This window comes from Homo sapiens, chromosome 3 (genome assembly GCF_000001405.40).
Source record: "Homo sapiens chromosome 3, GRCh38.p14 Primary Assembly".
Classification (NCBI taxonomy): domain Eukaryota; kingdom Metazoa; phylum Chordata; class Mammalia; order Primates; family Hominidae; genus Homo; species Homo sapiens.
This window is the reverse complement of record NC_000003.12, coordinates 172,354,451-172,366,658: the sequence shown is the minus strand read 5'-3', so window position 1 is coordinate 172,366,658 and position 12,208 is coordinate 172,354,451. Positions and strand designations below refer to the sequence as shown.

The 12,208-nt window shown below is 38.0% G+C and overlaps 1 protein-coding gene across 10 annotated transcripts in view; it reads right to left on the bottom strand.

Moving 5' to 3' along the window:
• The window catches only part of FNDC3B (fibronectin type III domain containing 3B), a 362,092-nt gene that overhangs the window by 35,011 nt on the left and 314,873 nt on the right, over positions 1-12,208 (bottom strand). For all 10 annotated transcript variants that reach the window (NM_022763.4, XM_017007062.2, XM_024453717.2 and 7 more), the window contains one exon: positions 3,814-4,026. In NM_022763.4, the coding sequence (NP_073600.3) occupies positions 3,814-4,026 (213 nt within the window). The remainder of the gene's footprint in view (positions 1-3,813; positions 4,027-12,208) is intronic.

Below are 12,208 nucleotides of genomic sequence, written 5' to 3'. Positions count from 1 at the left end.
ATTTGCTTTAAAGCATCTGTGTTCTACCATTACCCACCAGACTGTGAGTTCCTTAAGGGCAGGGATCTTAGTCATCTTTGTCCATCTAATACTGAAGCAGTGCCTCTATTTGACATATAAAACTCCAATAATTGTAAGTTGAAATCAATTCAACTTATCAGAAACTATGTTTTTTTTTTCACCTAAATGGTAGAAGGCTTTGGTACAAACCCTACTTTCTAGAAAATATTTCCCTTTTTACTCAAGAACTAAATAATGTAGACAAAGCTCTCAATGCTTAGCGCTCCTGTAGGCATGCAATAAATCCAAGTTTCCTGGGAGGGAGGCTGTAAAAACAACAACAACAATAACAAAACAACAACAATAAAAATATAAGTATCCTTTAGAATGTTAAAAACATTTTTGGCTGAACATTGCATTTGTAAATCTCTTGGTCATTTCAAATTTTCTGAGAGGTATATAAATAAACATCATAAATCAGTGCATCATAGTTGCAGAACCTGAGGGGTTTTTGGACATTAAGTAGTTACTCTTAAGGGAAGTTAGTATTTTTCTTATTTTTTTATGAATAGCAGAAACTAAAAATATGAAGGAAAAGAGGCAACATGCCCCAATCATTTACAAGGGACACCTTTTCATAAAGGATTTAATTCACAAATACTCTACAAAGATTTGTTGCCTTAAGGTGAAAAGATATCAGAGATCGTCTTCTAGTTTAACCCCTTTATTTAATGAATTAAGGAAATTTGGAGAGCAATAGTTTAGTTGCTAAAATCGACTCAACTCTTTAATATGATAATTATGAAGCGCAGATATACTAATTTTCATTTTTCTTCTGTTACAAAATATACTTAAGTGTTAAGAAGAACACTTAAACAGCTGGCTAGGACTCCCATAAAACTCAGACATCAGCAGCTTTCTTTTCAAAGGCCCACAATGCCTGTTTATAAAGTGTTCATGGTAACACTTTAAGGCTGCTTCCTTCATAAATATGGACTGGGACTCTTCAGTATTGTAAGCCAGAATAGATGGGAAACAAATGTCCTATTCTGGGGGAAAAATCCTTTCAACATAAAAGTCCAGGTGATCTAGATGAATTTTAGGTTGGGTTGTCTTGAGCCAAGGGTTCGCACAAGATGCTCTTTGGGATCCCTTTTATTTACATGAAATATGCTCAAACTTAAGGAGAAAAAATATCTTTGAGAGCCTGCAGGTAAGAAAGAAAAGTAAAATAACAAGCCTATCTATGGTTCTCACCTTGGCCACAAGCGGGATATATCATTATTTTGGCCACATGCATAAGAAGAACTTACTGGTGGTTAATGAAATTAACACATACGCTAAAGAGTATGTGCTTTAAAACTAGAAGCTCCTCTAGCAACAAGTTCAATGAAAAAGACAGCTGCCCCTTGGGAGGAAGACACTGTTCTTTTCAACTGCAGAAGCCAGGTCCTAAAGAACCTTGAGGAGGCTAGATTGACAAAGGCTATGCTAATAAAAAGTATTATGATGTATCCAACTCAAATTGTTTCTCCTTGATACCCATGTGCCAAGATCCAAAGTTAAAGGCTTGAATTCAAAAGGCCACTCACTACAAGAGTTCAGTTTCAAGACACTGAGGAAGGTCATCTTCAAACTAAAATTAGGCTGTTTTCATTCTATTAAATCTCAGGAAAATTATTCACAAATAGAATGAGAATTTATTATGCTCTATATTCCCATCACTTTAATAACTTTCTGAGAGCACTGACAAATCTAATTTAAAAAGATAAATTTGGACTCTAGCTCCTGTAATTAAGAAAAATACTGTTCCTAATGCGAAGTTTTCTTAAATTGCCATTTAAATTTAGGCAAGTCATTTATTTGATTAGGCAAGCCTTGGGCTTTTTGAGGGGGGAAGAAACAACATGTATTGATTACTAGATTCTGCACTGTTTTTTGTCTGGCATATTTAAATGCCTCATGCCAGGAACCTCATTTGGAAAAGTGCTTGGGGAGCTTTTGTTCTTTGCCCAGGAGCCACCGTGTCATGGAAAACCTTGGATCAGACTACACATTTGTATAGTTCTCCCTATGAGGCACTAGTGGGCTGCTGCCCCACACAGGGCAGGATTGCAGCAAGAGGGGGTGCCCTTGGGGCAGAGCCTTCACTTCCCACATTTCTAAGATGGCAGTGGAGGCAGGGCACGGGGAATTGGGAGGCACTGGCCTTTATCCCAACTCAGCTAGCTACCACTTTCAACAACTTTTCTGTGCTTCACTTTTTTCTAAAACAGCACAACTAGAAGCTATTTTCTAAGGATTTACCACCAATGGAAGCCACAGGTCTGGGAAAAAATGAAAAGACATTTAAAAATTTCCCCCAATGCTAGTTTTTTTATACATGGATTGTGATTTCTGTTAGTTCACAATTGCTGTTCTTGCCAGCCCTCTCCTGTTGAGTTGTCCCTAGCCAGTAAAATAAAAAGCCCATGAAAACACATCCGAAGGCACATATAGCACAATAAGATGAATGCTCTTGTGTATCAGTGGATATGAATTTAATCTTTCATGAACCTATCAAAAGAAGCTTTACCTCCCCTGTGTTCTCTTCACTAGAACTAATTTCCAAGAGGATAATCACGTTTTGTTCTGTCATAAAAATTACCAGGTTTGCCAGGTCCTCCAAAGTCAAGCTCAAATGTCACCTCTTTCAAGAAATCTTTCCTGATCTTTTAAACCAGATGGTCTCTGCCTCCTTCAAACTCCCAAAGCAATTTTTTCCTCTGACACTAATGTTCTATGGCCATTTTAAAAATTGATACTATGCTTCTAGAGGTAGGGTCTTATGTGATTTCTAATCTTGGTCTCCACTGAAGGCCCACAGGACTCCACTGTACTGAAATCCATCAAAGTGCTTGACTGCAGAGTAGGGGGTGGAGACTGGGACAGGGTTTTCCGTGTAACTAGAATGGGTTCCATACGTGAAGGAACAGAATAGTATCATGCATAAAAGGAAATAACAGAAATGCTTCTATCCTGACACTGGTTTTGTGTGTCAGTAGGTAAGCAGGGAAGTAGCATTTTGGTTGTTTTGGTTTTATGGTGATCTCCCATTCCCTTTACCTGATTGTCTGATTAGGACTTTTGGTAACAGAACATTCTGTCACCATTAACTTTTGCTTGACATTGGATTATTTCTAAATACAGTTTGGCTGTCTTCTGATCGGACATTTTCAGAGGAAATGAAGTTAGGTTAAACAAATACTACGTGAAAGGCTACATTTGATTTTGACAGCCAAGAATGTTTCCTGGGTATGGAGTTTTATGAAGAATCTCCTATTTGCTCTGGTTAATTTGATATTGCATTGCCCATAGTTACAGAGTACAGTCCCCATCTGTACATCACCCACAGCTATTTCACATTGGTAAACATGTTTGTCCTGATGGTTACTGAATATTTAAAGAGGTAACATCTCTTCCTGGGTCTTATTTCCCTCTGCACTCATGACTAATATAATGCTATTACATAGTGTGAACTTGAATTTGACAATTTTCTTTAGATACTTTCTCTCCATTATCTGGCTTGATGAAAGGAAAAAAAAGTGCATATTATGCTATGTAGGGAAATCAGGATCTTTAGAATGTTTAGAAATTCCAAATAGAGAATAAAAGGAACGACTCCGGGTATAAAACGCAGGGCTCAAGTCAAAGGAAGCCTCTGAACAAGAAGGAAGAGGGTCTTAGTGCAAGCAAATAAAAATGTACAATTGAGATTTCATCCCACAAGCCAAAGCTACAGAAGCTTCAGGAGCATCCTCACCCCCACCTCACCTCTTGTTTCTGTCCTCCAGCTGTAGTGTGTACACAATGTCCTCAGCAGCATGTGTCTTGGAGTTACTGTCTCCCCATTTTAGCTTCAGGCTCTGAGGACCAGCAGCAGCACATTCTAGCCTAGGAGGCAAGGGTGGTAATGGCCGAGTTTTTGCTTTAATGAACTGACTAAATGGTCCAGCTCCAATTTCATTTATAGCCTGAATTCTGATCCTAGAGAAAGGAAAAAAAAAATACAGACAATGCAGGTTAAAGCAGCAGCAATTCTTCATTCGAAATAAACATTGAGCATAGTATTTATTACTTGTCCCTAAAGCAATAACATAGAATGAAGAAAAACAAGTTAAAGTAACTCAAGACAAATAGAAGCACGGGGTTGCTCAGTGGACAGACTATAGTCTCCATTTAAAAAAAAAATAGCAAAAAAGCACGGTAGCAAGATATCTCTTAGTTCTTTAATTTAAAAAAAATAGGTTTGTTGTCTCAGGGAAGATATCTTAAAGATACGCTTTTATATTTTGTCCTAGCTACCGTTTAGCTACCTCATGGTCAGTTTTGGAAGTAGGTGAGCTATCAAGAGTAAATGAAATGGGGGAACAAATGAGTCTCCTTCAGAGTCAAAAACACAGGACAACTCATCAACAGGACATTTCATGTCTCCCTTTTGCCAGCCTCATCCAACAATCTCTGCAAGTCCTTATCTAGAGCTAAGCATGCAGATATTGTTAGTAATGGGATGGCATCCAGATGTGCAAAAATCTTAGCTGGATGTTTGCTATGTGTAGCACAGAGTTATGGATAAGAAACATATTACCTTAATCATCCATGAATTTAAAATCGAAGAGTTAAAATGTATATATAAAATGTTATTTTAGGCCAGGCGTGGTGGCTTACACCTGTAATTCCAGCACTTTGAGAAGCCGAGGCAGGAGGATTGCCTGAGTCCAGGAGTTTGAGACCAGGCTGGGCCACCTAGTGAGACTCCATCTCTACAAAAAAATAATTTAGTGGGCATAGTGACACATGCCTGTGGTCCCAGTACTTGGGAGGTTGTGGTGGGAGAATTGTTTGGCAACACAAAATGAACTAAAAGAAAATTGATATTGAGGAGTAGAGGGTTGCTATAAAGATACCTGAAAATGTGGAACTGGCTTTGGAAGTGGGTAATGGGCAGACACTGGAAGAGTCTGGAGGGCTCAGAAGAAGACAGGAAAGTCTGGAACTTCTTAGACACTGAATAAGTGGTCATGACCAAAGCGCTGATGGAAATATGGGCAGTGAAGGCCATGCTGCGGAGGTCTCAGATGGAAATGAGGAACTTTTGGGAACTGGAGCAAAGAACTTGGCTGCATTGTTTCCATGTCCTAGGGCTTTGTGGAAGGCTGAACTTAAGAGTGATAACTTAGGGTATCTGGCAAAATAAATTTCTAAGAGTAAAGTGTTCAAGAGGTGACCTGGCTGCTTCTAACAACCTATGATCAGATATGGGAGCAAAGGAATGACTTAAAGTTAGAACTTATAATTAAAAGGGAAGCAGAGAGTAACAATTTAGAAAATTTGCAGCCTGGCCATGTGGTAGAGAAGGAAAGAGTACTTTCAGGAGAAGAATCAATGCAGTCTGTAGAGCAACCACTTGCTAGAGAGATTAGCAGGATTAAAAGGGAGCCTGGTACTAATATTCAGGATAATGGGGAAAAGCCCTTAAAGGGCATTTCACAAACCTTGGAGACATGGACCCTCTCCTCCAGAGGCCTAGGAGGACTGAATAATTAAAGGTTTATTGAGGGCTCATTAGAAGCATATGCTGGCACCACACTTTTTGTACAGCCTACAGAACCAAAGGTTTTGTACAGCCTACAGTTTATTATAAGCCAAACAAATCTCTTTTCTTTATACATTAAAAAAATAAAGTGATGTGGAAAGGCAAAGGAACTAAAATAGCTAATGCAAAATTTAAAAATAAGAATAAAGTTTGAAGAATCACACTACCTGATTTTAGGACTTAGTATAAAGCTACAGTAATCAAGAGAGTGTGGTACCAGTGAAGAGAAGAACACCTAGATCAATACAAGAGAATAGAGACTCCAGAAATAGACCTACACAAATGGGGCCAATTGACTTTTGACAAAGGTGCAAAAGCAATCCAATGGAGAAAAGACAGTCTTTTCAACAAATGGTGTTGAAATAATTGGATATCAATAGGAGGAAAATAAACCTCAGCTTCAACCTCACACCTTACACAAAACTTTGCTCAAAAGGGACCACAGATCTAAATGTAGAATATTAAACTTTTAAGAAGAAAACACAGAAGAAAATCTACTACCTAGAATTAAGTAAAGAGTTTTTGGATATGACATGAAAAGCATGATCTTACATAAAAGAAAAAAATAAAAAACTGGATTTCATCAAAATTTGAAACTTTTGCACTGCTAAGAGAATGAAAATAACTAGAGACTGGAAGAATGTATGTGCCAATATTACATCTGACAAATGATTTGTAACCAGAATGTATAATGACCTCCCAAAACTCAGTTAAGGAAATAATCCATTAAAAATGGGCGGAAGACTAGAATAGACACTCCACCAAAGAGGGAATACAGATGGCAAATAAGGACACAAAAACATGTTTGACATCATTAGCCATTAGAAAAATGCAAACTAAATTCGCAATGTAATACCATTATGTTAAAAAAGTGCTGGCAGGGATAAGGTACAACTGGAACTCTCCTATTTCACTAGTGATAATGAAAACTGGCATCACCACATAGGAAAACAGTTGCCTTTTAAATATATACTTATTACATGACCCAGCAATCCCAATCCCAGGTATTTATTTACTCTAGAAAAATTAATATTTATGTTCACACAAAAACCTGCACACAAATGTTTACAGCAGCTCTACTTATAATCACCTAAAACTAGATAAATATCTCCTCATAGTTTGGAACGTAGTAAATACTCATCTCTGATAAAGCAGAGCAAAAACTCCATTACAAAGGGCCTTACTTTTCCCAGATTCTATTACACTGGGGCTGCATCAAGTCTTTTGTAGATAAAGCAATATAAGTCTCTCGGTATAACACTGAAAGATTAGAACTCTTCCTTGCCTCCCATATGAGTCTTATAAGATTGCTTTATGGTATTAATAGAAGAGTTTCTTTCTATGATTGGAATGTAACATATTTTTCGGCAACTGGAAATGAAAAATCTTTTTAAAAAGGCAGTCATCATGATGGTAGAAATTACTATCCTCTTTCCCTTCTCAGGAAAAGGAAATTAAGCCGGACATTAAGTTTTAGTCTTTCTTCAACAGTGTAACACATTTCCTCACCTACAAGGTTTATATTAAGGTCCTTCCAGTGTCCAAACCACCATTCCTTCCCTTTACTCTAGGTACAAACATTCCTAGATTCCAGAGGCCAAGATCCTTTCTGCCATCTGCTGGCTCACCTTGTATTCTAGGTGATCCTACCCTTTGCTCTGTGCCACCTGAATAGCTCTTAGCTACTTTAATACACAAAAGAAAATGAGGTAATGAGTTCCTTAAGATTGTTGTTCTATTCTATACTCAAGAAAAAAAATGCTAAGAGATTTAAATCACTTATAAGAATTTAAAAATAGTTTAGAAGATACAAGTATCAAGATATAAAAAAAATTTAGATTTGATTTTTGGCTTCTGTTGTAAATTCATTTCCTTCCTCAAAGCCTCCCTAGTATTTTGGTAAGTACTAGGTTCTTTATATCTTTAGCTCTAGGGTTCTCTAATCTTTCACTGAGTATCTCCTAGGCATATAATCCTAGCCTTAACACACACCACCGCCACCATCACCACCACCACCACCACCACCACCACCACCACCACCACCACCACCACCACCACCACCACCACCAAGAAAACTGTGGTAGCATTTAACACTCTTTAGCAGTGTAGCCTCTTTGGGAATCCTGCTCATCAATTTGGAGACCTTGGGGAAATTATTGAACACTTTTAAGTAACAGCTTTCTTATCTATAAATTGGGGACAGTGACTTTTTTCTGCAATTACAAAGAAGATTACCTAACTAAGATAAGGGATGTAAGAAGCACTTTCCAATTTTTAATATTTTATACTCCACAGTAAAATCAGGAGAGGATTCAAGGCAGCCAAAAGCACTAGCAAATTTTCAAGTGTTAATTTTTGGAGTCATTATCCTGATGACTTCTTTGAGAGTGTCACGCCATCCCAACAGTGCTGGCACAGGGACAGGTCTTCACTGCGGCTGCACTATTACACCACCTCACTTTACAACATGAGTAACTTGCTGATCCCACTTCCTCCAAGTAATGGCCAAGGACTCAGCAACAGCTGAAAGGATGGGCTTCTTTCTAGGCCATCCGCAGCAAGGTGAGAGTGAGACAAAGATCTCAGGAACTGAAGAAAACAACAATGGCAACCATCACTACACACATTGAGAACTTGCTCTGTTCCAGAAAATGCACTACAGAGTGGGAACTACTATTACATCTGCCTTTAGAGATGAGGAAATCAAAGTTAAATGCAGAGAGGTTAAATAACTTGATCTAAATGACAGAGTGACTACTAGGGGTTGAAAGCTAGGTTTGACATCTACAATATCATCTCTGATTTCTATGCTGACCCCATAAGGTAGGAGCTACTTTGTCTGCTTTACAACTGAAGAAACTGCAGCTCAGCTAGGTCATGTCAGACACATGTTAGATCCAGGCGTGAGCAGAACTCCCTTTAGGTGCAAAGGCCTGTGTGTCTGGCACACCATACTCTTATATCGTAACAGGGGCCAAATATGGTTACAAATCCTACCAAATGACCATTTTTAATTCAAACCACACTTTCAGTTCAACATTGACCGTCTGCCAAGGAAGCAGGCATTTAGAAGAGTCAACAAGTTTACTTCACATTATTTAAACAGCATCTGGCCCTGAAATCAACTACCTAGATTCTAAAATACTCAATTCAACCTATCCTACATTTTTACAAAAACACATTTTGTTTCAGCGAAAATACGTGAACATTTACGTGTACAGCTGATGCACTGAACTAACATTAATTATTTCTAATGATGATGTAACATTCAAAATTGAAAAAAAAAACTGAGGAACTGATAAAATGGAATGAAATGATGTCTTGTTGCATTCTGGGGAAAATATTAAGGCCTCTGAGCACAGGAGGCTGAGACAGCTGAATGAGGACTAAGGCAGTTACTGTTTGTTTTGGTTTAGGGTGAAAAACACAGTATGGGAAAATAATTTCCTAATTCCAGTGAAAGGTGACATTGGACTAATGGGCAAAACAAACATTAACCTGAGGAACCACTCCAAGAATTCACCTCAGAAAATAAAAACTAAACTTTAAGTTTTATTAATTAGAGTCTATCCAAAACCCAAACTTGAGAAGTTTTCTCTTTAGCTCAAGTAACATGCTAATCTTGAAACTTAGATAAAATCTGCAGGTCTCTTTGTTTTGTTTAATTTGCATTATGTCAGTTTAAAAAATCTTCAGCTCTGCAAATTAAGTACAAGGGAAGTAGCATTTTCCTTTCCAATTTGGAGAAGTAATGTAATCCCAAGCAAATTCTTCTTGGCTAGGCTGATGTGAAAAATCTCTTCATGTTTCCAGGAGTCTGCAATATCCATCAATATACTAATATTATTGATTAAACAAATCAAATAAATCAAAGAACCACATTCTTTATAAATTTTGATTAAAAATCCACCATTAAAGGACCACATTTTACATGCAAATACACTCCTGCTTTAGAAGATCATAGCCTTCTACAACGCACTTTAAATATATACATATACATAATCAAATTTCTACTACAAAATATATTAAAAGAAGAATGACTTTCGAAACAAACCATCCTTAGCTGGGAAGACTTCCCTCATCAGGACTGGCCATCTCAGAGCTCGGGATGTCAAGAGTGTGGGTGTGAGGGAGACTGAGAGGGCCCGCAGGTAAAGGGCTAGGGTAGGAGGGGCCTGAGAAGCAAAAGATGGGCTGGCTTTTACAACACCCCTGCCCTAGATTATCATCTAATTAAGAAAAACATGAAAGAAGAGAATAATCATCAGAAAATGTCTTAAGTACGAAATAATAGCAAACAACGAAAATCCCTTTTGGTGGGGAAAAGATGGGCTCCGAGTAAAGTTATTCATAGAAGGCTTCCTGGAGGAGGAGTCGGAACTGGCCTCCCACCAAGCTCCTGCTCCTGAAAGCTCCTTTGACACCAATGCCACCATTCCAGCTCCAGGCACTGAGACTTGCTCTTCTCATACCCTGCTCTGGAGGCAAAAAAACCTTGAAGGATAAGGTTTCTACAGATAAGATCTCTACCTATAATCTGGTCACAACCCATCTTTGAGTTCATTTCTTCCCTACCGAACATTAACAACAGATTTTCTGATTATTTATTTACTATGTGTCAGGCCCCATACTAGGTACCTGACCTCTTATCAAAATACCCAACAACTCTGTTAAGTAGTGAAAATTATTATCCCCTTTTTAATGGTCAGGAAACTGAGGCACAGAGAGCTTAAATAACTTCCCAAAGTTTGCAGAGACAATAAATGAAGGATAGGATTGAAGTCAAGGCTGTCTGACTCGTCTGCTACCACTGAACTACCCAGAACTTGTCTCCTAGTAAAGCCCATCTCACCTTGTTATGACAAAATGATTTATGATTCACTTCTGGGCAGCCTAACATAGTGCTTACCATATAGTAAGGGCTCAATACATGTTATTTTTAAGCCTTTTTTACTTAGCAAAAGGAGTACAAATGAGCAAAACAAACAAATCTACTTTAAGTTTTGGTTGCCTGCCAGCTCAGTCTGAGTCAGGCATATAATAAGGTTGTTTAAAAAAAAGTAATCTCAGGCAACCTCACTAACTGCTCAGTATGGAGAACAAGGAAGGCAATAGTCCTGGTCTGCTCTGAGCCAGCCAACCAGACCATTCCTGGAGGTCTGGGCACTGCACATCAGCGAGGCCACCAAAAACCTGAAAACATTTAAAGAAGAGGTTGGAGGCAGTTATAGAAAACCTGTGCTAATGAAGACAGTGTAAATGATGGTGGGATGGGTAAATAAGAGACAGCTGACATTATAACGTAATGATGTTTAGGCCCCCTCTGGGGCCAATTGCGGCCTACAGGTGTAGGGCTCAAACACCTGTATTTTGAAAAGGTTCTCCAGGCAACTCTTACATACACTGACATTTAAGAATCACTGCTCTAGGGCCAAGGTTTTCAAGTTTCATAAGCATCAAAATCTCCTGAAAGGCTAATTAAAGCACCAAGTGCTAGGCCCCCCCCCTAGATTTTCTAATTAAGTAGGTTTGGGGTGGAGCCTGATAATTTGCATTTTATCGAGTTCCCAGGTGATGCTAATGCTGTTGGTCCAGGGACCACACTTTGAGAATCACTGCTATTGAGGAAGTTCTAAGGTCAGCAGTTGATTTTAGATATAGAGAGGTTTATCCACAAATAGAATGGACTGCCTGGTGAGTGGAAGCTAGAACCACTGCCCCTGTCACTGAAGATGCTCAAGCCAAGGACTGGGAAGGGGTGATACCAGGTGATCCGATTACCCTCTTATCTTGCCAAATCTGTGACTACTTGGCTGGAAGCACACAGAGCAAAGTTAGGTTTTCATTTTTAATAATACTGTTTTCCTTCAAATTAAAGGACAAATTCAATTTCTAACTCAATTATAAACTTAAAGGAATGCCTTTAAAAGTAGTATTGTAATTCTAGTGAAATTTCTACAGAGTGTGTCAGCAAGCCAATGGGTAGTTTGCTATAATAGCACCCATGGAGAAATGACCGATCCATTGAAGAAGCTTTTTTGCATTAGTACATTTACTAGAGAGGTGTACAACCCTGTCCTGGCAACACAGAGAAAGAATAAGCTTGGTATGAGAACAATATGTAACTGCTGAAGGCTTAAAAAAAAAAAAAAAAGAAAATCAAACAAAAGAAACAAGTCTTTTATCCAAGCTCCATGGTCTGCTTAAAATGTTTCATTCCACATGTTTTTATCTAGAACATCATGATCTGTTCATTTATATTTTAACCAATTTATAGGACAGAAAAAAGGTGAAATAAAAGTTGATTGGGCCAAAATTATACCTTTGGTTCCCTGAAATACTCATTTTGTATTTCACTATAATTACTGCAATTATGTTTTTGAAACATAAAACAACAAGACTGTGGGTTGACCAGAGTTCTATTAATACTATACAGTATACCCAATTGTGTACTATAGAAACTAAAATTCCTAAAGCTATAAACCAGTTGGTCTTAAGTATGAATTATTATTATTATTATTTTTTTTTATTGTTTATATTTCTTTATTGAAAAAATACTCATTTACTGATACG